Below are 26811 nucleotides of genomic sequence, written 5' to 3'. Positions count from 1 at the left end.
CCTCAGGGGTACAGACTTAGGTATATCCACATTCACTTGGGATGACAGTGCTAAGGCAGGGCTCTCTGTCTCTTTCCCTGACCACATTCAGCTCTGCTCTTCAGACTAATCCAGTCAAACTTCTTCAAAAGGATAGTTGCAGAGGTCAGTGTTTAAGATTTTTTCTGACTCCAGTAAGGCTCCTCCTAGCTGTCTCTTTCTCCAGTTCTCTCTGGAAAACTAGTCAGTATTCAGTTTAGCTTGTAGCTCCAATGAATCTACCAGTGTTGTTGCAGTAGGTAGCTAATCAGGCATCAGTGGGCAGGAGAGGGCTCCACCAAAACCCCACCAGGAATGTCAGGCATCAGGTGATGGTCAGGCGGTTGTTAACTGTCTCTCTAAAATAATAATTGGTTGCAGCCAGCAGCAGGGAAAGGCAGTCTTTCTACAGATAGGAAACACCTGAGACTGGTGATCAGCCGCTTCCTGATGAGATCTCAGGAGTGAGCTCGAGCATGCGCATTAAGAAACAAAATGGCCGAGTTTAACTGGTATGTGAACGTTTTAAGATTTGACTCAGGGGCATAAAGGCAGAAAAAGAGACTGAGGCAAGTTTTAGGGCAGGAGTGGAAGGCAAGAATTGATGTTGCTGCAGACCTGTACGGATTTGCTGCTGGTAAGATAACTTCCACCAGTAATATATTTGTCCTCCAGAATTTTTTTTTAAGCCATAATTGCACTGCTTTTGAGACTGTCCTTAAGCTTAACTTCTCTTTTTCTGGAAAAGATTAGGAGCTATCTGTTTTGTGACCTAGTTTTTCATCAGGGCAAAATTTATAAGCTATGGCTTATGAGCTGGGGATGGAGGAAATGGCACTCTTCCCTCCAAGTGATACCCTGCTTTAGGAGATGAACTGTAGGTGGAGGGGAGGCAGTAGACTTAGGTTTCCTCCATTTGCCTCTCCCAGTGTGGAACCATCATTTTACAAACCAAGATAAGGGCAAGCAGAGCCCAAGAATGCTCAGTGGTGGAGCACCTGAAGTAGAGCCTCTGTCTCATGTACGGGGACTGGGAGAGGAAGGGAGCCCCCATCTCTTGTCCGCACTCACCTGAGTTAGCAACAGACAGCAGGGGGAAGAATAAGACATACTGATATCCTCCCCCTCCTGGGATAGCCCTTTGGTAGCTCTGGGGAGAGGGAGCCCTAATTTCTTGTCTACACTAGTGTGGAGTTTCTGTCTTACCGAGCTGCAGAGTCGGGTGGGGGTAGAGGAAGAGGCAGTCTTGATTGAAATACCACAGGCTCTCACAGTTTTTAATGAATTTTAGTAGACTTTCTTGAATAAATTTTTGTTTCATTTGCTGTATAACCTTAAGACCATTTCAGAGACTTTAAATATCTGTTGTTGTTTGTTGTTGTTGTTGTGGATAATTTCACTAGTTTTGCTGGTGAATGGGTTTGCAGAGCTCTTCCTGTTGTCATGGTAGAAGCTGATGTTTCAGTACCACTGTTTTTATTTTTATACCCTTATATTCCCAGTTAATTTTTCTTAGTTTTAATTTCTTTATTCTTGCTACCCTGGATGCATCTTTGTAAGCTTCCTCAAATACTTTTTAGAGTAAGGTAAAAGTATAAATGAAATTTAAATATGGCATCTTAATAAGGCCCACCTCTCATCTGTCAAAGATCTTTTGTGTTTTTATAAACAGTAGATAATATGAACAAAATTTTAACTTCTCCTGGGGGAAAATTCGGGTATAAGAAGTATAAGAGAAAATAACTTGCCATTCTCTTTCATTCATTTAAAAAAACCTTAATAACTAGATTAATGAAGATTTACCTCTTGTCCTCTGGCATTTTGGTGGCTTGCTATGGTAGAATTCCTTTCCTTCTTTGTTTTCAAATGTTTTTTCTAGTAAAAGAATCATACTTAAAATCAATATTTAATCAACATATCAAAGAGTACATATGCAGACATGAAATTGTTTCGAGATTCCCACTTCTAAGAAGATGAGAAGTACTTTATTCCTCCCACTAAGTACAACCAAAAATTCTGGGTATCATATAAGAAGCTCTAAAAGATGGAAAGGAGAAGACAGACTAGCTAGGGAGTTCAAGGCCAGAAGAGTGGCATGATGATGAGTTCACTGGGTTTTCTTTTTGCTTCATATATTCTCGCTTTAAAGCTGGAGAGGCCAGCAACCCAGAAATGCCAGTGAATGCAATTTAAAAAAATCCCTACATAAGCCTGTTCCTTCTAGCCCAAGGACCAGGAGAAGGACAGCCTAAAGAGACCAAAACCTTTTAGATAGTTAACTGTTCTACTCCAGCCTAACACCACAGAAATGACTGTGATTCCCACACCCACCCATGCCAACACAAGCCCAGTGGGAGCGCCCCAACCCCTTTTTCAAGGTAGTGTCAGTGAAGGCTAAGCAGGGGGCCAGGCAAATAAGCATGTGAAAAGATATTCAACATCGTTTAACTGTTATGGAAATGCAAATTAAAACCACAATGAGATAACGCACTTGTCAGAATGGCTAAAATAGAAAATAGTGACAATACCAAATTTTGGTGAGGATGCACAGAAAACGGATTACTCATAAACTGTTCTTGGGAAGGGAAAATTGTACATCCATTTTGGAAAACAGTTTGGCAGTCAATTAAAGAATTAAACATGTATGTACCATAACTACCATACCACCTACCAATTGAACTCCTGGGTTTTTATCTCAGGGAAATGAAGACTTATTTCACATAAACCTGTACACTAATGTTATGTTCATAATGGCCCCAAACTGAAAACAACCCACATGTTCTTCAACAGGTGAATGGTTAAATAGGCTGTGGTAAATCCATATCACGGAATACTGCACAGAAATAAAAAGGAAGAAACTATGGATGTATGCATCAACTTGGGGGTGGGGGATAAGTATTCCAAGAAGTATGCCAACTGATAAAAGCCAATCCCAGCACGTTACATATTGTGTGATTTCACAGGGATGTGAAAAAACATTTGTGAATGATACATTTACAGAAATGCGGAACAGATTTGTGGTTGCCAGGGGATAACTGCAAGGTAAGGACAGGAGGGAGTGGGTATGGCTTTAAGAGGGCAATATGAGGGATCCTTATGATCATGGAAATGGTCAGCATTTTGACTGCATGAATATAAATAGCCTTATTGTAACATGGCACTGTAATTTTGTAAGATGTTACCATTAGGGGAAACAGAAAACAGGGTCCCTGGCATCTCTCTGAATTATTTCTTACAACAGCAAGTTAATCAAAATTAAAAGTTTAATTTTTAAAAGTTAGAATTTAATTGGTATTATGTTTCATCTGTTTATTCTTTAAAAGTTAACATTTTTATAATGCTAGAAAAATATCTTGATAAAGATGCCTATACTCAAAATACGGCACATAATCAATATCTGACCATTGTAGGGATTCATTTAGTTTTTGAAAATGACCACACAGAATACAAACTTGTTCTTTTTACTGTTATTTTTTACTCCAGAGGGTGTGTGTGTATGCATAACTGCCTGAATTGTGGGCATGGGTATGAATATTTATCCATGAGTGTCCTGATATACATAACTTGGAAAGAGGAGGTGTTTGTGAAATAAAGACTTGCATGGTATTTTAACAAACCCACAGGAATATTTGAGTATAATCCTTTAAAGTATTGAGAGTGGAGAGAGGAGAGAGGGAAAGATTGGCAAATGGAGGGAAAGGGAGAATGTGATGGCACAGCAGAGAATATGGGAGGAGGTAAAACACTTGTTCTTGTGCTATGTGATTGTTTAAAATTTTTTTGAATTTGGACTTTGTCCAAATTTGTTGTTCATGTCCCCAGAACCCATTCCCTCTTCTTCTGGCAACTGTCTTAAATTTTGTTAGAGAATTTAATCCTACCCACTCTCAGTTCTTGAAGTCTGGGTGAATGCTATGAGGGTTTGTCAAATAACCCAGGCTGATGCCAATCAGCACAGTCTATCCTGTTAGTCACAGTGAGTGATTTATGGGTTGACACATGTCTAAACCAGCCTGATAAGAATCATCTTTGCTTTTTTCCCTCTAGCTTTATTGAGGTCTAAACTGACAAATAAAAATTGTATATATTTAAGGTGTACATGATGTTTTAAGTATACATTTTGAAATTATTACCACAATCAAGCTAATTAACACACGTATCACCTCACATAGTTACCACTTATTTTGCTTTTCGTGATGAGAATACTTAAGACCCATTCTCAGCAAATTTCAAGTATACAATACAATATTATTAACTATAGTCACCACATTGTACATTAGGTCTTCAAAATGTATTCATCTTAAGGGAGGAGACCACCCCTCATATTGTCTTATGCCCAATTTCTGCCTCCAAAGAAAGAAGTAAAAACTAAAAGGCAGAAATGAAATCCACAAGCAAACAGCCTGGCGCCGCACCCTGGGCCTGGTAGTTAAAGATCGACCCCTGACCTAATCGCTTATTTGCATAAAAAAGGCACTGTGAAGATCCCTGTCCTGTTCAGTTTCTTTCTAATTACCGGTGTATGTAGCCCCCAGTCACGTACCCCCTGCTTGCTCAATCGGTCATGACCCTATCATGCAGACCCCCTTAGAGATGTGAGCCCTTAAAAGGGACAGGAATTGCTCACTCGGGGAGCTCGGCTCTTGAGACAGGAGTCTTGCCAATGCTCCCAGCTGAATAAACCCCTTCCTTCTTTAACTTGGTGTCTGAGGGGTTTTGTCTGCGGCTCTTCCTACTACACTCTTAAAACTGCAAGGTTTATTTATTTATTTATTTATTTATTTATTTATTTATTTATTTTGAGACGGAGTCTTGCACTGTCACGTGGGCTGGAGTGCAGTGGCACAGTCTCAACTCACTGCAACCTGCACTTCCCAAGTTCAAGTGATTTTCCTTGCCTCAGCCTCCCACGTAGCTGGGATTACGGGCACCCACCACCACACCCAGCTAATTTTTTTTTGTATTTTTAGTAGAGACGGGGTTTCACTATGTTGGCCAGGCTGGTCTTGAACTTCTGACCTCGTGATCCACCTGCATCGGCCTCCCATAGTGCTGGGATTACAGGCATGAGCCACCATGCCCGGCTACAACTGCAAGTTTATACCCTTGACTAACATCTCCCCGACCCCTGGTAATGACCCTTCTATTCTCTATTAGGTCCACTTTTTTAGATTTCACATAAAAGTGAGATCATGTAATATTTGTCTTTCTGTGTTTGGCTTATTTTACGGGGCATAATGTCCTCCAGGTTCAAAGACTAAATGATATTCCAGTATGTACACACACATACACATACACACACCCCTCATCTTTTTTGTTTTGAAATTTTTTTTAATTTTATTTTTATTTTTTATTTTTATTATACTTTAAGTTTTAGGGTACATATGCACAACGTGAAGGTTTGCTACATATGTATACATGTGCCATGTTGGTGTGCTGCACCTGTTCACTTGTCATTTAACATTAGGTATATCTCCTAATGCTATCCCTCCCCCCTCCCCCACTCCACAACAAGCCCCGGTGTGTGATGTTCCCCTTCCTGTGTCCATGTGTTCTCATTGTTCAATTCCCACCTATGAGTGAGAACATGCGGTGTTTGGTTTTTTGTCCTTGTGATAGTTTGCTGAGAATGATGGTTTCCAGCTTCATCCATGTCCCTACAAAGGACATGAACTTATCATTTTTTATGGCTGCATAGTACTCTATGGTGTATATGTGCCACATTTTCTCAATCCAGTCTATCATTGTTGGACATTTGGGTTGGTTCCAAGACTTTGCTGTTGTGAATAGTGCCGCAATAAACATACATGTGCATGTGTCTTTATAGCAGCATGTTTTATAATCCTCTGGGTATATACCCAGTAATGGGAAGGCTGGGTCAAATGGTATTTCTAGTTCTGGATCCCTGAGGAATTGCCACACTGACTTCCACAATGGTTGAACTAGTTTACACTCCCACCAACAGTGTGAAAGTGTTCCTATTTCTCCACATCCTCTCCAGCACCTGTTGTTTCCTGACTTTTTAATGATTGCCATTCTAACTGGTGTGAGATGGTATCTCATTGCGGTTTTGATTTGCCTTTCTCTGATGGCCAGTGATGATGAGCATTTTTTTCATGTGTCTTTTGGCTACATAAATGTCTTCTTTTGAGAAGTGTCTGTTCATATCCTTCGCCCACTTTTTGATGGGGTTGTTTGTTTTTTTCTTGTAAATTTGTTTGAGTTCATTGTAGATTTTGGATATGAGCCCTTTGTCAGATGACTAGATTGCAAAAATTTTCTCCCATTCTATAGGTTGCCTGTTCACTCTGATGGTAGTTTCTTTTGCTGTGCAGAAGCTCTTTAGTTTAATTAGATCCCATTTGTCAATTTTGGCTTTTGTTGCCATTGCTTTTGGTGTTTTAGACATGAAGTCCTTGCCCATGCCTACGTCCTGAATGGTATTGCCTAGGTTTTCTTCTAGGGTTTTTATGGTTTTAGGTCTAACATTTAAGTCTTTAATCCATCTTGAATTAATTTTTGTATAAGGTGTAAGGAAGAGATTCAGTTTCAGCTTTCTACATATGGCTAGCCAATTTTCCCAGCACCATTTATTAAATAGGGAATCCTTTCCCCATTTCTTGTTTTTGTCAGGTTTGTCAAAGATCAGATAGTTGTAGTTATGCTGCACTATTTCTGAGGGCTCTGTTCTGTTCCATTGGTCTATATCTCTGTTTTGGTACCAGTACCATGCTGTTTTGGTTAATGTAGCCTTGTAGTATAGTTTGAAGTCAGGTAGTGTGATGCGTCCAGCTTTGTTCTTTTGGCTTAGGATTGACTTGGCAATGCGGGCTCTTTTTTGGTTCCATATGAACTTTAAAGTAGTTTTTTCCAATTCTGTGAAGAAAGTCATTGGTAACTTGATGGGGATGGCATTGAATCTACAAATTACCTTGGGCAGTATGGTAATTTCTGCCATTTTCACGATGAAAATGGTGAAAATTTACCATTTTCACGATATTGATTCTTCCCACCCATGAGCATGGAATGTTCTTCCATTGTTTGTATCCTCTTTTATTTCATTGAGCAGTGGTTTGTAGTTCTCCTTGAAGAGGTCCTTCACGTCCCTTGTAAGTTGGATTCCTAGGTATTTTATTCTCTTTGAAGCAGTTGTGAATGGGAGTTCACTGATGATTTGGCTCTCTGTCTGTTATCGCTGTATAAGAATGCTTGTGAATTTTTCACATTGATTTTGTATCCTGAGACTTTGCTGAAGTTGCCTATCAGCTTAAGGAGATTTTGGGCTGAGACAATGGGGTTTTCTAGATATACAATCATGTCATCTGCAAACAGGGACAATTTGACTTCCTCTTTTCCTAATTGAATACCCTTTATTTCTTTCTCCTGCCTGATTGCCCTGGCCAGAACTTCCAACACTATGTTGAATAGGAGTGGTGACAGAGGGCATCCCTGTCTTGTGCCAGTTTTCAAAGGGAATGCTTCCAGTTTTTGCCCATTCAGTATGATATTGGCTGTGGGTTTGTCATAGATAGCTCTTATTATTTTGAGATACGTCCCATCAATACCTAATTTATTGAGAGTTTTTAGCATGAAGCATTGTCGAATTTTGTCAAAGGCCTTTTCTGCATCTATTGAGATAATCATATGGTTTTTGTCGTTGGTTCTGTTTATATGCTGGATTACGTTTATTGATTTGCATATGTTGAACCAGCCTTGCATCCCAGGGATGAAGCCCACTTGATTATGGTGGATAAGCTTTTTGATGTGCTGTTGGATTCGGTTTGCCAGTATTTTATTGAGGATTTTTGTATCAATGTTCATCAAGGATATTGGTCTAAAATTCTCTTTTTTTGTGGTATCTCTGCCAAGCTTTGGTATCAGGATGATGCTGGCCTCATAAAATGAGTTAGGGAGGATTCCCTCTTTTTCTAGTGATTGGAATAGTTTCAGAAGGAATGGTACCAGCTCCTCCTTGTACATCTGGTAGAATTCGGCTGTGAATCCATCTGGTCCTGGACTTTTTCTGGTTGGTAAGCTATTAATTATTGCCTCCATTTCAGAGCCTGTTATTGGTCTATCCAGAGATTCAACTTCTTCTTGGTTTAGTCTTGGGAGGGTGTATGTGTCGAGGAATTTATCCATTTCTTCTAGATTTTCTAGTTTATTTGCATAGAGGTGTTTATAGTATTCTCTGATGGTAGTTTGTATTTCTGTGGCATTGGTGGTGATATCCCCTTTGTCATTTTTTATTGTGTCTATTTGATTCTTCTCTCTTTTCTTCTTTATTAATCTTGCTAGCAGTCTATCAATTTTGTTGATGTTTTCAAAAAACCAGCTCCTGGATTCATTGATTTTTTGAAGGGTTTTTTTGTGCCTCTATTTCCTTCAGTTCTGCTCTGATCTTAGTTATTTCTTGCCTTCTGCTAGCTTTTGAATGTGTTTGCTCTTGCTTCTCTAGTTCTTTTAATTGTGATGTTAGGGTGTCAATTTTAGATATTTCCTGCTTTCTCTTGTGGGCATTTAGTGCTATAAATTTCCCTCTACACACTGCTTTGAATATGTCCCAGAGATTCTGTATGTTTTGTCTTTGTTCTCGTTGGTTTCAAAGAACATCTTTATTTCTGCCTTCATTTCTTATGTACCCAGTAGTCATTCAGGAGCAGGTTGCTCAGTTTCCATGCAGTTGAGCAGTTCTGAATGAGTTTCTTAATCCTGAGTTTTAGTTTGATTGCACTGTGGTCTGAGAGACAGTTTGTTATCATTTCTGTTCTTTTACATTTGCTGAGGAGTGCTTTACTTCCAACTATGTGGTCAATTTTGGAATAGGTGTGGTGTGGTGCTGAAAAGAATGTATATTCTGTTGATTTGGGGTGGAGAGTTCTGTAGATGTCTGTTAGGTCTGCTTGGTGCAGAGCTGAGTTCAGTTCCTGGATATCCTTGTTAACTTTCTGTCTTGTTGATCTGTCTAATGTTGACAGTGGGGTGTTAAAGTCTCCCATTATTATTGTGTGGGAGTCTAAGTCTCTGTAGGTCTCTAAGGACTTGCTTTATGAATCTGGGTGCTCCTGTATTGGGTGCATATATATTTAGGATAGTTAGCTCTTCTTGTTGAATTGATCCCTTTACCATTATGTAATGGCCTTCTTTGTCGCCTTTGATCTTTGTTGGTTTAAAGTCTGTTTTATCAGAGACTAGGATTGCAACCCCTGCCTTTTTTTGTTTTCATTTGCTTGACAGATCTTCCTCCATCCCTTTATTTTGAGCCTATTTGTGTCTCCACATGAGATGGGTTTCCTGAATACAGCACACTGATGGGTCTTGACCCTTTATCCAATTTGCCAGTCTGTCTTAATTGGAGCATTTAGCCCATTTACATTTAAGGTTAATATTGTTATGTGTGAATTTGATCCTGTCGTGATGTTAGCTGGTTATTTTGCTCGTTAGTTGATGCAGTTTCTTCCTAGCATCGATGGTCTTTACAATTTGGCATGTTTTTGCAGTGGCTGGTACTGGTTGTTCCTTTCCATGTTTAGTGCTTCCTTCAGGAGCTCTCTTAGGGAAGGCCTGCTGGTGACAAAAATCTCTCAACATTTACTTGTCTGTAAGGTATTTTATTTCTCCTTCACTTATGAAGTTTAGTTTGGCTGGATATGGAATTCTGGGTTGAAAATTCTTTTCTTTAAGGATGTTGAATATTGGCCCCCACTCTCTTCTGGCTTGTAGAGTTTCTGCCGAGAGATCAGCTGTTAGTCTGATGGGCTTCCCTTTGTGGGTAACCCGACCTTTCTCTCTGGCTGCCCTTAACATTTTTTCCTTCTTTTCAACTTTGGTGAATCTGACAATTATGTGTCTTGGAGATGCTCTTCTCGAGGAGTATCTTTGTGGTGTTCTCTGTATTTCCTGAATTTGAATGTTGGCCCGCCTTGCTAGATTGGGGAAGTTCTCCTGGATAATATCCTGCAGAGTGTTTTCCAACTTGGTTCCATTCTCCCCGTCACTTTCAGGTACACCAAGCAGACGTAGATTTGGTCTTTTCACATAGTCCCATATTTCTTGGAGGTTTGTTGGTTTCTTTTTATTATTTTTTCTCTAAACTTCTCTTCTCACTTCATTACATTCATTTGATCTTCCATCACTGATACCCTTTCTTCCAGTTGATCGAATCGGCTACTGAGGCTTGTGCATTCATCACGTAGTTCTTGTGCCATGGTTTTCAGCTCCATCAGGTCCTTTAAGGACTTCTCTGCATTGGTTATTCTAGTTAGCCATTCGTCTAATTTTTTTCAAGGTTTTTAACTTCTTTGCCATGGGTTCGAACTTCCTCCTTTAGCTTGGAGTAGTTTGATTGTCTGAAGCCTTCTTCTCTCAACTCGTCAGTCATTTTCCATCCAGCTTTGTTCCGTTGCTGGTGAGGAGCTGCGTTCCTTTGGAGGAGGAGAGGCGCTCTGATTTTTAGAGTTTCCAGTTTTTCTGCTCTGTTTTTTCCCCATCTTTGTGGTTTTATCTACCTTTGGTCTTTGATGATGGTGATGAACAGATGGGGTTTTGGTGTGGATGTCCTTTCTGTTTGTTAGTTTTCCTTCTAACAGTCAGGACCCTCAGCTGCAGGATTGTTGGAGTTTGCTGGAGGTCCACTCCAGACCCTGTTTGCCTGGGTATCAGCAGCGGAGGCTGCAGAACAGCGGATATTGGTGAACAGCAAATGCTGCTGCCTGATTGTTCCTCTGGAAGTTTTGTCTCAGAGGAGTACCGGGCCGTGTGAGGTGTCAGTCTGCCCCTACTGGGGGGTGCCTCCCAATTAGGCTACTCGGGGGTCAGGGACCCACTTGAGGAGGCAGTCTGCTCGTTCTCAGATCTCCAGTTGCGTGCTGTGAGAACCACTACTCTCTTCAAAGCTGTCAGGCAGGGACATTTAAGTCTGCAGAGGTTTCTGCTGCCTTTCGTTTGGCTATGCCCTGCCCCCAGAGGTGGAATAGTCTACAGAGGTAGGCAGGCCTCCTTGAGCTGCGGTGGGCTCAACCCAGTTCGAGCTTCCTGGCCGCTTTGTTTACCTACTCAAGCCTCGGCAATGGTGGGTGCCCGTCCCCCAGCCTTGCTGTCGCCTTGCAGTTTGATCTCAGACTGCTGTGCTAGCAATGAGCGAGGCTCCATGGGTGTAGGACCCTCTGAGCCAGGCGCAGGATATAATCTCCTGGTGTGCTGTTTGCTAAGACCGTTGGAAGAGCGCAGTATTAGGGTGGGAGTGACCTGATTTTCCAGGTGCCATCTGTCACCCCTTTCTTTGACTAGGAAAGGGAATTCCCTGACCCCTTGTACTTCTTGGGTGAGGCAATGCCTCGCCCTGCTTCGGCTCATGCTCGGTGCACTGCACCCACTGTCCTGCACCCACTGTCCGACATCCCCATTGAGATGAACCCTGTACCTCAGTTGGAAATGCTGAAATCACCTGTCTTCTGCGTCGCTCACACTGGGAACTGTAGACTGGAGCTGTTCCTGTTCGGCCATCTTGGCTCTAAAATCCCCCCTCATCTTTTTTATCCATTCATCCATTGATAGACACTTGTTTCTGCATCTTGGCTATTGTGAATAGTACTGCAATAAACATGGGAATGCTAATATCTCTTTAGCATCTGGATTTCCATTCTTTTGGATAAATACCAGAAGGGTGATTACTGTATCATATGGTAATTCACTTTTAAATTTTTTTGAGGAAACTCCATATTGTTTTCCATAATTGCTGTACCAATTTACATTCTCACTGACAATGTATAAAGGCTTCATTTTCTCCACATCCTTGCAAACACAATTTTTTAATTTTTTGACCAAGCAGGTGTGAGATGATATCTCATTGTGGTTTTGATTTGAATTTCTCTGATGATTAGTGATGTTGAACAACTTTTCATATAATTGTTGGCCATTTATATGTCTTCCTTGGAGAAATGTCTATTCAAGTACTTAGCCCATTTTAAAATCAGCTTAGTGGGTTCTTTTGCTATTAAGTTGTAGGAGTTCCTTAAAAATTTTGGAGATTACCCCCTGTTCAGATATATGATTTGCAAGTATTTTCTTCTATTCCATAGGTGGCCTTTTCCTGCTATTAAATATTTTCTTGGTTGTACAGAAGCTTTTTAGTTTGTTATAGTCCCACTTGTTTAAGTTTGTTTTTGTTGTCTATGCTTTTGGTGTTATAGCCGTGAAATTATTGTCAAGATCAATGTCATGGTGCTTTCCCCTATGTTTCTTCTAGGAGTTTTATGGTTTCAGGTCTTACGTTTAAGTGTTTAGCCCATCTTCAGTTGACTTTTTGTGTGTAGTATAAAGGTCCAATTTCATTCTGTTTTATGTATATATCCAGTTTCCCAACACCATTTTTGTTTCTTTGATACAGGGTCTCATTCTGTTGCTCAGGCTCGAGTGCAGTGGCCCAATCATGACTTACTGCAGCCTTGACCTCCCAGGCTCATTGATCCTCCCACCTCAGCCTCCTGAGAAGCTGGGACTATAGGCGTGAGCCACCATGCCCGGATAATTTTCTTATTTTTTGTAGAGGTGGGGTCTCACTCTGTTGCCTAGGCTGGTCTCGAACTCCTAAGCTCAAGTGATTCTCCTGCCTTGGCCTCTGAAAGTGTTGGGATTACAGGTGTGAGCCACCACACTCAGCCACCAACACTATTTTTTCAAGAGACTATCTTTTCTTCATTGTGTATTCTTAGCACCCTTGTCAAAGATCAGCTGACTGTATATGCATGGTTTTACTTCTGGGCTTTCTATTTTGCTCCATTGTGCTGTGTGTCTGTTCATATGCCAGTATCATATACTTTTGGTTATTGTAGCTTTGTAACATATTTTAAAATCAGGAAGTGTGATGCCTCCAGCTTTGTTGTTCTTGCTCAAGTTTGCTTTAGCTATTCAGGCTCTTTTGTGGTTCTATACAAATTTTAGTACTGTTTGTTCTATTTCTGTGAAAAATGTCATTGAAATAGGTATTGCATTGAATTTGTAGAGAGCTTTGGGTAGTATAGACATTTTGACAATATTAATTCTTCTGATTCACGAACACAAAATACTTTCCATTTATTTGTGTCTTCAATTTCATGAACATTTTACAGTTTTCACTGAACAGATCTTTCACCTCTTTGTTAAAAATGTCAATATCTGCATTTTTGAGAGAACTACTATATAGGAGGATGTCTCAACCAGACTTAGTATAGTGAGGATGTGAGGCTGGATTTCTATGGTCATTTTAACACCAAGAGAAGAAAGTCTGTCTGAGAATGGAACCAACCAAGAAAAGGCAGAAATGAGATGAAAGCAGGAGAAAAAACCCTCCAGGATCTTAATGACATCATCTGAGCCCCTCATTTAAGCCATGACAAAAGCCAGCCTTGTCCCTAGACTTTTTATTTAGTAATCCAACAAATTTCCCTTTTGACTAAGCCATTTTGGAAGGATTTTTTGCCTCTTGCAATGGAGAGAGTCCTAATACATCTTCAAAATATGGTTTAGTAGCTAGAGAACAAAATTAAGTTAACTATTTTACCATTGTCCTCATGGAATGGAAACTCTAATCTCCAGATGCTCAGGTCCCAAATTCTGGAGACCACCTTCTTTCCTTTCTATTTTTCAATCTTATAAACATGTCATCAGCAAATTCTCTTAACACTATCTTGAAAATATATCTAAAATCTAATCACTTCTCATTCCCTCTACTAGTATCACCTTGGTGCAGCCACCACTTTTATCTTGCCTGGGTTATTATAAGAGCCCCCTAATTGGTCTCCCTTATGGGTCATCATTGTACTCTTAACACAACAGCCAAGGTGACCCTACTAACCACTTGAGGCAGATCATGTCATTCCTCTGATCAAAGATCTCCAAACTCAGAGCAAAAACTGAAGTCCGAAGCCTACCAGGCTTTACATGACCTGCTCCTGCAACCTTCAAAGCCTATCTGATTTCATGTTTTACCATTGTTCTTCTTGTTAATTCTTCTCTAGCCACATTAGCTTCCTTGGTTTTCCTAGAAAATGACAGATATGCTCCTTCCTCAGGGCCACTGCACTTTTAGTACTCCTGGCCTGGGAAAAGATACCCCTGGATTGTTCCTAAATGTTCACTATTATATAATTATCCTTCCCCACCCCATTGATGTTGAATTTGGACATATGTCTTAATTTGGCCAGTGGAATGTTAATCAGAGGCTTTAAATAGATTTGCATGGTTTGTCTTGCCCTCTTGAACTCTTGTGATTGGCCATGAGCAAAATATGCCCTAGCTGGCTGCTGGTCTAGGTGAAGAAAGAAAGGTGAAATAAACCTGAACCCAACCCACAATTAGGAGCTAAGTTTGGCTGATTTCTGATTAGTTCAGTAGAGCCACTGCTGACCTTCAGATTCATGAACAAGAAAATACATGTTTGCTATTGTAAGCCATTGATAGTCTGAGGGTGTTATGCATTAAAATCTGAAAACTACAGAAATTGATATGCAGAAGTAAGATGCTGTCCTAACAAAACCTAAACTATGTCATAGTCATTGCTTTTGTGACTGCATAGTAGGTAATTAGGAAAATATAACAGAAAAATAGTGACATATTCACAAGAACATGGAAATTAAATAATACACTCCTGAACAGCCAATGGGTCAGTAAAGAAATTAAAACAGAAATTTAAAAATATCTTGAGACAAACAAAAATGGAAATACAACATATCAAAACTTATCAGATGCAGCAAAAGCAGTTCTAAGAGGGAAGTTCATATCAATAAACACCTACATCAAAAAAGAAGATCTTTTGAGCTGGGGCTGAAAAAAAAGGAAAAACAAGTTCTGAAATACACAACCTAGTGTTACACTTCAAGGAACTAGGAAAAGAAGAACAAACTAAGCATGGAGTTAGCAGAAAGAAGAAAATAATATCAGAGCAAAAATAAATAGGGACTAGAAAAACAATAGGAAAGACCAATGAAATGGTTTTTTGTTTTTAAAAAAAGAAACAAAATGGACAAATCTATAGCTAGACTAAGAAGAGAGAGAGAGAAGACTCAGATAAAGTCAGAAAAGATGAGACATTATAACCGACACCACAGAAATAGGATCATAAAAGACTACCATTATAAACAATTATATGCCAACAAATTAGATAACCTAGAAGAAATAAATAAATTCCTTGCTACATATAACCTACCAAGACTGAATCATGAAGAAGCAGAACATCTGAATAGATGAATAATGGGTAAAGAGATTAAATTAGAAATAAAAAGTTTCCCATCAAAGAAAAGCCAAAGACCTGATGGTTTGACTGCTGAATTCTACTAAACATTTAAAGAGGAACTAATATGAATCCTTCTTAAACTCTTACAAAAAATTGAAGAAGAGGGAATATTTCCAAATTCATTTAATGAAGCCAGCATTTATCTGATACCAAAGCCAGACAAGTAAACTACAAGAAAAAGATAACAGACCAATATCCCTGAGAAGCATAGATGCAAAAATCTTCAACAGAATACTAACAAACCAAATCTAGCAGCACAATAAAAGATTATTCATCATGATCAAGTGAGATTCATCCCAGGAATACAGGGATGGTTCAACATATGCAAATTGATAAATGTGATACATCATATTAGCAGAATGAAGGACAAAAACCCTATGATCATCTCAATATATGCAGAAGGAAGCATTTGATAGAATTCAACATCCTTTCATGATAAAAAATGCTCCAAAAATAAGGTATAAAATGCATGTACCTCAATACAATAAAGGCCATCTATGACAAACCCAAAGCTAACATCATACCCCATGGTGAAAACTTGAAAGCTTTTCCTCTAAGATCAGGAACAAGACAATGATGCCCACTTTTACCACTTCTATTCAACATAGTACTGAAGTCCTAGCCAGAGCAATTAGACAAGAGTAAAAGGAAGAAGTTAAATTGTCCTTGTTTGGAGACAACATGATCTTATATATAGAAAACTCCCATCAAAGAACAGAATTTAAAAATTCAGTAAAGTTGAAGGATAAAAAATCAACATACAAAATCAGTAGTGATTCTATACAAAGTATGATTAATAACAAACTATCTAAAAATCAAAAAAGAAATCAAGAACATAATTCCATTTATAATATCTACAAAAAATATGTAGGAATAAATTTAACCAAGGAAGTGAAAGACCTGTATACTGACAATTATAAAACATTGATAAAAGAAATGGAAGAAGACATGGAATGTCTTCTATGAAGAAATGGAAAGATATCTTGTGCTCATGGATCAGAATAATTAATATTGTCAAATTGTCCATACTACCCAAAGTGATCTACAGATTCAATACAATCTCTATCAAAATTCCAATGGGATTTTTCAGAGAAATAGAAAACAAATTCTATAATTCATATGGAACCACAAAGGAGCCGAACTAGCCAAAACAGTCTTGAGCTACATGAACAAACCTGGAAGCTCACACTGTCTGACTTTAAAATATACTATAAAACTAAGAAATCAAAATGGTATGGTACTGGCTTAAAAACAGACACATAAACCAATAGAATGAAATAGCCCCAAAATAAATCTGTGCATTTATAGTCAATTGACTTTTGACAGAAGTGCCAAGATCACACGATGTGAAAAGGACAGTATCTTCAATAAATGCTGTTAGGACAATAAGATATCCACATGCAAAATAATGAAATTAGACTCATCTCACACTATGTACAAAAATCAACTAAAATTGGATTAAAGACTTAAATGTAAGACTTGAAACTATAAAACTACTGAAAAAAGTATAGGGGAAAGGCTCGATGACATTGGTCTGGGCAATCATTTTTTTGGATATGAACTTGAAAACACAGGCAACAAAAGCAAAAGCAGCAGATACATGGGATTACATCAAACTAAAAAGCCTTTGTACAGCCAATGAAACAATCAACAGAATGATGAGACATCTAATGGGATGGGAGAAAATATTTGCAAACCATACATCTGATAAGGGGTTAATATCCAAAATATATCAGGAACTCAATAGTAAGAAAACAAATAACCTGATTAAAAAATGAGCAAAGGCTCTGAATAGATACTTGTCAAAAGAACAAATACAAATGGCCAACAGGTATATTTAAAAATGCCCTACATCACTAATCATCAGAGAAATGCATGTTAAAACCACATATGGATATTACCTCATGCCTGTTAGAGTGGCTGTTATAAAAAAAAAAAAGATAATTAGTGTTGGAGATGTGGAGAAAAGGAACCCCTGTACACTGTTGGTGGGAATATAAATTAGTACAGCCATTATGGAAAACAGTATGGAAGTTCCTCAAAAAATTAAAAATAGAACTATCATCTAAACTAGCAATCCCACTACTGAGTCTATATCTTACAGGAAAGGAAGTCAGTATGTCAAAGAGATATTGCACTCCCATGGTCATTGCAGCACTATTCACAATAGCCAGTGTATGGAATCAACTTAAGTGTTCATCGACAGATAAATGGATAAAGAAAATGTGGTATGTAGCACGATGAAATACTATTCAGCCTTTAAAAAGAAGGAAATCTTTTCACTTGGAGTAATATAGATGAACGTGGAGGACATTGCGTTAAGTGAGATAAGCCAGGCACAGAAAGATCATGTTCTCACTTATGTGTGGAGTATTAAAAAAAAATGCTGAATTCATAGAAGTTGAGAGTAGAATGGTAGTTACCAGGGACTGCAGGAGTGAAGGGGTATGGGTTGAGCAGGTGTTAGTCAAAGGATACAAAATTCCAGTTAGATAGGAGGAATAAGTTCAAGAGATCTATTATGCATCATTGTGACTATAGTTAACAACAATGTATTATACTGAAAATTGCTAAGAATAGATTTTAAGTGTTTTCAGTGTTCTCACCACAAAAATAAGTATGTGAGGTAATGAATATATTAATTAGCTCAATTTCACCATTCCACAATGTGTACATATTTCAAAACAATGTGTCATATACAATAAATATATATAATTTTTACTTATTAAAAATAAATGAATTGAAGAATGATGACACAAATTATGTAGAAGTGATACATTTAGTAAAACTGTCTCAAGTGATAGTTTGAAAGACAGAAAAATCTGCTGGATAGACTTGGGTCACTGGAAAAAGAGGTTTTGAGGTAGACTATTAACAGTGTGTGTTAGGGATTATATTGCTTGGTTTAACCTTGTGTACTCCGGGTTTTCAACATAGGATCTTGCCTGGGTATTCTCTAGCCCAAGCAAATGAGAAACATGTGGAACATAACTGAACTCAACCTGTAGCCTGAATCCAAGACCAGTTGACCCTACCCATGTCTAACAGAGCCAACCGGCAGACCCATGAGTGAGAAAATAAAAGTTTGTTGTAAGCCACTGAGGTTTTAAAGTTGTTATGTACCAAAAAGCAGTTAATATACCTAGTATCTACTTGGCTTGTTCCTCATTTCCTTTGAGTTCTTACTTAAGTATTTATCTTTCACTTTGGTAGCCTCTATCCCAAACTGCAATCTCCACCTAAACTCTTTATTCCCGCTCCTGCTTTAATTTACTCTTTAGGCACTTATCCCATGTAACACATCATGTATTTTACTTATCTTCTTTATTTTGTATCTCCCCCAGCCAGAATGTAAGATAACAAAGGGAAAGCTGTTGTCTCATTTTGTTGACTGCTCTATCCCCATCACTCAGCCAGTGCCTGATACATAGTTGTAGCTCAATACATAGTTGAATAATAAATGTATAAATTAAGCAGTCAGGTGATGTATGTTAGGCTACCACCTCTGTCACTAACAAGTTGTATGGCTTTTAAGAAATAATTTCATCTCTATGGATCTTAACTATTCTCATCTATAAAACAAGGATGTTAGAAAAAGAAACCCTAAAGTTAAATAATTCTATGATTTAAAATATCTACATAGTTAGAAAATAAATGATGATACAATAATTACATATCTGCAATTTTTTTTGCCTGATTATTAGTCACAATAAGAACAGTACCTACACAGCATATCCACATATAAGCAAAAATGTTCAGTCATACCTGAGAAGTTAACTTGAGAAGGTAAGTCAGAGAGTCAATGGATTCTGAACTGTCAGAGCCTCGGCTACTACAAAAAAAATAATTTTGGTTTATACAGTGTTTTGGTGGCATCTTAAAATTTCAACTGTTGCTTTTATTTATCTTATTTGAATGGTTGAAAAGTTCTAATTATAAGAAGTGGCCGGGCGCAGTGACTCATGCCTGTAATCCGAGTACTTTGGGAGGCCAGGGCAGGTGGATCACCTGAGGTCAGGAGTTTGAGACCAGCCTGACCAACATGGTGAAACCCTGTCTCTGCTAAAAATGCAAAAATTAGCTGGGCATGGTGGCACTTGCCTGTAATCCCAGCTACTCAGGAGGCTGAGGCAGGAGAATCTCCTGGGCCCAGGAGGCGGAGGTTGCAGTGAGCTGAGATCGTGCCATTGCACTCCAGCCTGGGCAACAAGAGTGAAACTCTGTCTTGGGGGGGAAAAAAGAAGAAGAGGAAGAATGTTTACAAAGGTTTAGTAGTTCCAGACAGCTTAGAGGGTTTTTGTTGAATGTGTGGAAAGATATAAAGGTTTGGGAATGTGTTAATGGAATGTAAGCTCCAGAAAAGTAGGATTTTTTTTTTTCTGTCTGGCTCACTGCTGTATCACCAGAGTGGAAATAGTGCTTGGCATATAGTAGGCACTCAAGATTTGTTAATATGTTAATGAATAAATGCTATATCAGGGGAGTTTCCTAGATGTCATAGGTATCATTAGCTCTTAAAATTCATTTATTTTTATATCACTATATCCATTCTACATAAAGCAATGCAGCACCATATGAAACATAGTACCTCAAGAAAAAAGGGTCAAACAAATCTGTTTCTAATTGTAATCATTTAATGCAGTGGTAGGCACGTTTTTTTGCTTGAGAGCCAATACAAGAAAGAAAATATTTCTGGGTTGTATTTTTTATGTATTATTTTAAAATTAATATAATTTATGTTTTTAGAAAAGTTCTAGGTTTACAGAAAAATTGAGCAGGTAGTACAGAGTTCCCATACACATGCCCCCATTCCCTGCATAACTTCCTAAATTATAGTATGTGGTACATTTGTAAATTAGATATCTGATAGTATGTGGTACATTTGTTACAATTGATTAAACAACACTGATACATTATTAAAAATTATAGTTTACCTTAGGGTTTACTCTTGTGGTATACATTCTATGAGTTTTGACAACTTTATAATGATATATAGCCATCATTACAGTATCATAAATAGTAGTTAAACTGCCCTAAAATTCCTCTGTGTTCCATCTATTCATCCTTCGTTTTCCCAGAACTTCTGGCAACCCAGTGTCATATAGCTGGGATCATATAGTATGTGGCCTTTTCAGACTTACATTTTCCACTTAGTAATATAAATTAAAGTTCTGCCATATATTTTTATGGTTTGATAGCTCATTTTAAAAAATCACTGAATAACATTTTATTGTCTGAACATATGTTTCTTTATCCATTCACCTATTGAAGGACATTTTGGTTGCTTCCAGGTTTTGTCAATCATGAATAAAGCTGCTATATGAATGCAATTGCTGGATCAAGTGTTGAGACTATGCTTAGCTTTGTAAACTGCCAAACTGGCTTCCAAAATAGCTGTACCATTTTGCATTCCCACTAGCAAAGAAGGAGAGTTCCTGTTGCTCCTCATCCTCACTGGCATTTAGTATTGTCACTACTTTGGATTTTAGCTATTATAATTAGGTGTGTCATGATATTTCACTGTTGTTTTAGTCTGCAATTCCCTAATGAAAATGATGGCAAGCATCTTTTTATTTTTTTTCAGTTTTCAACCATCTTTAGACCTACTAATTTTTTTCTTTCATGGATCATGATTTTGTCATATCTAAAAAGTCATTACCAAATTCAAGAGAATTTAGCTTTCCTCCTATGTTATCCCCTAGGAGTTTTATAGTTTTGTATTTTACATCTAGGTCTATAATTCATTTGGAGTTAATTTTCGTGAAAGGTGTAAAGTTGCTTCTAGTTCACATTTTGCCTGTGGATGTCCAATTGTTCCAGTAACATTTGTCAAAAAGACCTTATTTCTCCATTTAACTAGGGATTTTTGTTGCTCTTTTTTCAAACACCATTGACTATATTTGTCAGCGGTGACAAATATATTGGATATATTTCTGGGTTCTCTATTTTGTTTTATTGGTCTATTTGTCTGTTCTTTCTCTAGTACTGCACTGTTTTAATTATGTAGCTTTATAGTAAGTCTTAAAGTCAAGTAGTGTAGGTCCTTGGATTTTTGTCCTTCTTCAGTATTTTGTTAGCTATTTCAGGTCTTTTACATACCCACACAAATTTTAGAATTAGTTTGTCTATAGCCACAAAATAACTTTCTGGGATTTTGATTGGAATTACATTGAGTCAAAAATCATGCCAGGAGGAACTGACATCTTAACAATATCATCTTCCTGTCTATGAACACAAACTCTCTCTCCATTTATTTAGATCCTCTTTGATTTCTTTCCTCAGAGTTTGTAATTTTCCTCATATACATCTTTCACATATTTTGGTAGCTTTAATCCAAGTATTTTAAATTTTTGTGCTAGCATAGATGGTATTTTTTTTTAATTTTAAATTCCAGTTGTTCGTGGCTGGTATATTGAAAGGCAATTGTATATTAACCTTTTATCTTTAAATCCTTCTATAATTATTAGTTTCAGGTTTTTAAAAAATTCTTTGATATTTTCTACATAGATAACCATGTCCAGTGTGAACAAAGATAAATATTTTAACTAAATTAAATTTAAAATACAACTTATCAATATTTGTAGAATGGTGCACAAGCAGTGCTTAGAGGGAAATTTATAGCATTGAATGCATATGTCAGAAAAGAAGAAAGCTTTAAAATGAACAATCCAAGTGTCCACATTAGGAAATCAGAAAAAGGAGAAATAGAGACGTAATGCAAGCAGAAAAAAAGAAGTAATTTAAAAATCAGAGAAACTGAAAACAGGGAATCAATAATCAATGAACACAATGCTGCTGCTTTGAAAAGATCAATAAAATAGATAAATCCCTGGCCAGGTTAACCAAGAAAAAAGAAAGAACCCAACTTGCTAACATCAGAAATAAAAGAGGGGTCATTGCTACTGATGCTATGGAAATTAAAGAGATAAAGAAGGGATACTAACAACTGTGTCCTCATAAATTTTATAGCTTAGATGAAACAGACCAGCTTCTTGAAAGACACAGTGTACCAGAACTCACACTGGGAGAGATATAGATCTAATAGATAGATATATAGATCTATATATCAATTAAAGAAATCGAATTGATAATTAGTGACCCTACAAAACAAAGCACAAGTCCCAGATGGTTTATTGTGGATTCTACCAAACATTTAAGGAAAAAAAATACTAGTTTTCTAAAATCTGTTCCAGAAAATAGAAACAGAGAGAACACTTACTTTTTCTAAAAGGCTAGCATTATCCTAATACCAAAAGCAGACAAAGATACTGTAAGAAAGAAAAACTACACCAATATGTCTTATGAACACAGGTGCAAAAATCTTTAAGAAAATATTAGCAAATTGAGTACAACAAGGAATAAAAAGAATTATACACCATGACCAAATAGGATTTATTCCAGGTATGCCAGGTTGTTTCAACATTCAAAAATCAGTTGATGTAATCTGTCACATTAACAGGCTAAAGCAGAAAAAAAATTATATCAATATATTTTTGACATAAAGCATTTGACAAAATCCAACACATATTCATGACAAAAACTCTCAGCTAACGAAGTAGAGGGAATCTTGTTCAACTTGATATCTACAGAAACCTTACAGCTAACATACATAATGGTGAGAAACTAGATGCTTTCCTGCTTTGAGGACAGGATAAGGATGTCTTCTCATAGCACTTCTACTCAGTATCATACTGGAAGTTCTAGCTAATACAGTAAGACAAGTACTATAATATGGTTCAGCACTTATGGTTTGTCCCCACCCAAACTCATGTTGAAATTTGATTCCTAATGTGCCAGTGTTGGGAGGTAGGGCCTAGCGGGAGGTGTTTGGGTCATGGGGGTGGGTCCCTTATGAATGACCGGGTTCTCACTCTTGTGAGACTGGATTAGTTGTGGTGATGGATTCGTTCCCACAAGAGTGGGTTATTATAAAGCAAAGATGTCCCTTGGGTTTTTGCCTCTTCGCCTGTGTCCACTTCCCCTTTGACCTTCTCTGCCATGTTATGATGTAGCATCAAAAGCCCTCACCAGAAGCTGAGCAGGTGCTACCATCATGCTTCTTGTACTTCCTCACCTGCAAAACTATGAGCTAAATAAACCTGTTTTCTTTATAAATTACCCAGTTTTAGGTATTCTGTTGTAGCAACATTAAACAGAGTAAGACAATAAGAGAAGCAAATAAGAAGCTATACAGATTGATAAATAAGAAAACTCTCTGGGTTGTATTTTGGAAATAAGGAAACATACAAATATATGTGTGCATGCATATTTTTATAACTACAGTAATGTGTATACACACATATTTATGTTTTTAAGCATATTTTAATTATCTACCATTAAATATTTTCCTTTTTTGGCTAAGAAACTACATAAGTAGTTTATTATATTTACCACAATATCTGATTCAATGTGCATTAGAAAATATTTTTTCATTAAACAACACACCTTTTAAAGTTGCTTTATCTTTTTTATATTAATTGTAAAATATTGTTTGTCCTAGTGGTACTACTGTATTCTCTATAAGCAAATATTTTCCATTGCAAATCAGAAAATGTATCAATGCTTAAATCAAAGAAACTTCTACATTTCCTTATTTTGAAACACAATGCTTCCTTTTTCAGCAGCAGCTATAAAAGGAATTTAAGTTTCATTTGGAAAATTTCTCCTCTGCACTCACAATTTAAGTTCCAATGGATTTTATTTTACTTTGCTTCTCAGATACAGCTACAAGGTGCTTATAAAATGGCCTTCCAGGTAAATTTACTTATCTTTATTTCTGTGTTAGATCCAGCTTAAAGACAGCCAAAGGCAAGAGGACAGGCTGAGGTTAATTCATTGTAGGCCTTAAACTCCTCATTTGTAATATGGAAACTCCTAAAATTATATAGAAGGCTGCCACATATGGTTAGAAAGTTAAGGGTCTCTCAGTACTGACTTGATGTGTTTCACTTATGCCATCATAGAAGGTAACCAAATTTATGAAACAATAAAAGTAAACAAATTTTTAAATAATTAATATATCATAACTGTTGTTCATATCAGCCTTGATTTTGACACAGTAGGAATCTATACTGAAAGGTCTATGTTTTAAATTGCTTTATAATAGTATTTTCTATTTAATATATACTTATTCTTCTTAAAATCGAAGACATTGACTGGCAGACTATATTTTAAATGTCCATTTCCTATTTATTAGAAATGTTTTTATTTTCTTAAGACGAATTGTTAAATTGACAGTATCCATTAGAATCTTATCATTTTTTAGGTCTCAGGAATAATTTAACTAAATCTTTGTCACAATACAGGAATTATTTTATTAAGTCCCATAGCAGATGGTCGTCCAGCTTTGGCTGAATCCTTTGTGTGTTTTGTTTTGTTTTGTTTTGTTTTTTTGAGACGGAGTTTTGCTCTTGTTGCCCAGGCTGGAGTGCAATGGCACGATCTCAGCTCACTGCAACCTCCGCCTCCCGGGTTCAAATGATTCTCCTGCCTCAGCCTCCCGAGTAGCTGAGATTACAGGCATGTACCACCATGCCTGGCTAATTTTGTATTTTTAGTAGAGATGGGGTTTATCCATGTTGGTCAGGCTGGTCTCAAACTCCCAACCTCAGGTGATACGCCTACCTCAGCCTCCCAAAGTGTTGGGATTACAGGCATGAGCCACCCTGCCCGGCCTGGCTGAATCCTTTCTATAACAAGGTACTAACTACTTTCCACTAACCCTTCTCAGAATTAGCACTCATTATTAGGGAGTTCTTCCTTTTATTGTCCTGAAAGTCAGCTTCACGCATTTTTCACCCATCACTTCTGGTGTGGCCTTGCTTTCTTAAGCAAAGAATGAAGCTATGCCTTCTACATGTTTCTGCATGCAAAGTTCTTAAAATATTTGGACGCTTTCATTTAAAATTGGTTTATATCTCTGGAAAAAGTGGTTATTATGTTCCTTTTTCAAAAGGGCAATATACATAAGTAGCACATTTGTAATATTTCTGCACATGTAAGGATGAAGCTTTCTTCAATGTGTATCAGATGTTACAAAGTTTCCGAAATAACCAACATGGAATGATTCTGCAACCTCAAAAAACAGACTCCAGACTCCTGTAGAATATTGATTGGTGCTAGGAAATCAAGTTTATGTCCCAATTTACCATAAATTCCTGAATTTCTTAAAAGGTATTCTAGATAGATAACACATGATATATATTATTTATATAGTATTTTATAGCACAAAGTTATAGAGGATTTACTTACACATTATCTTATTTGATCTCACTTCTGTCTCTTATCCTCATTTAGAACCACATTTAAAAGTAAATCATTTTCAAATACCGCATGTTCTCACTTACAAGTGGGAGCTAAACTAAGGGTACACATGGATGTAAAGATGGAAACAACAGGCACTGGGGACTCCAAGATGGGGGAGGAAGGTGGGGGAGAGGGGTTGAAAAACTACCTATTGGGCACTATATTCACAATTTGGGTGATGGGTTCAATGGAAGCCCAAACCCCAGCATTATGCAATAAATACGTGTAACAAGCCCACACATATAGCCCCCCGAATCTATGGAAAAAAAGTGCTAATTGGAAAAAGTAGGCGATTTTCAAATGTTCCATCAGTAGAGGACAGACTGAGTAAATTATGATATATCCACCCTGTGGAGTACTACACAGAAATAAGGAAAACCCCTATGTACTGAAAAATCTACAGTGATTTCCAGAGTATTGTAAGTGAAAATAGCTAGATATGGAACAATGCTGATGGTATGCTACCTTTCGTATAAGGTACAGGGACATGAAAATATGTAGTTATTCACTCATATTTTTGAAGTAAAACAAAGAATAAGTAAAAAAAATTAATGAAAATGGTTACCCATGGAACAAGGGAGGAAACAGGGTACAGAAGGGGGGATGGGGTAGAATCAACACTTTTTTGAATGTTCCCTGTTATATGGTTTTGATGTTCTTATGTAAATGTGTTATATAATTTAAAAACAAAAAATTAATGGAAGTTATTTCTAAAAGTTAATATAATCAAAAACAAAGACACTTAACTGTCAGACTGGTAGCATAGCCACATAGAAAAAATAATCTCTTTCCTTTTAAAAAATACTTTATACTAAGCTTAAAAAGAATTACAAAGAAATGTTAAACTGCATTCAATAGTCATTTTATTGGTAGCATTATTATGGGTATATGATAGGAAAAGGAAGAAGCAGGTGAATATTTACCCTAAAGTAATTAGGAATGAAGATTTTTTCAGTATAAGAGAAGGGAGATACAAGTATAAAAAATAAGGAAGAATAAGTTCTATAATCTTAAATTTGAACTGGAAATATAATTATGAACTGAAGATTTTTTCTCATGAAAACACATATTTCCTAACTCAATCCCCTGGAAAAAAAAACCTAGACGCAATAATAACTATCATCTAGGCTATGTTATCTAAATATCCCTTTTTACTGAAAAGAACCAGGACTTCTGAGAGAAATGGCAGATTCCAGTTCTGGTGCAGGAAATGTACA

General features: G+C 37.3%; 1 protein-coding gene across 13 annotated transcripts in view, besides 1 other annotated feature; it reads right to left on the bottom strand.

Moving 5' to 3' along the window:
- AGBL3 (AGBL carboxypeptidase 3) overlaps positions 1-26811 on the bottom strand; it is a 149271-nt gene that overhangs the window by 57489 nt on the left and 64971 nt on the right. For 5 of the 13 annotated variants that reach the window (NR_144293.1, NR_160300.1, NM_178563.4 and 2 more), the window contains 2 exons: positions 19055-19121; positions 1822-1893 (listed from right to left, as the gene is read on the bottom strand). The exons of 1 other annotated variant lie outside the window; for it this stretch is intronic. Coding sequence is in view for 9 of the 12 variants with exons in the window: in NM_178563.4 (NP_848658.3) it covers positions 1822-1893; positions 19055-19121 (139 nt within the window). In the remaining 3 variants the exon portion in view is untranslated. Of the gene's footprint in view, positions 1-1821; positions 1894-19054; positions 19122-26811 lie in introns of those variants that run through there. 7 more of the 13 variants (NM_001345853.1, NM_001345852.1, NM_001345851.1 and 4 more) reach the window with 3 other exon arrangements.
- Positions 2156-2763: an enhancer, noted in NCBI's record as "OCT4-NANOG hESC enhancer chr7:134760279-134760886 (GRCh37/hg19 assembly coordinates)". NCBI's record gives its function as "activates a minimal SCP1, AML or CMV promoter by ChIP-STARR-seq in primed H9 embryonic stem cells {active_cell/tissue: H9 hESC(primed)}" and the evidence as "EXISTENCE:reporter gene assay evidence [ECO:0000049][PMID:30033119]".

Source organism: Homo sapiens, chromosome 7, assembly GCF_000001405.40.
Source record: "Homo sapiens chromosome 7, GRCh38.p14 Primary Assembly".
Classification (NCBI taxonomy): domain Eukaryota; kingdom Metazoa; phylum Chordata; class Mammalia; order Primates; family Hominidae; genus Homo; species Homo sapiens.
Note: the sequence above shows the minus strand (reverse complement) of the source record. Positions and strands in the feature narration are given on the sequence as shown.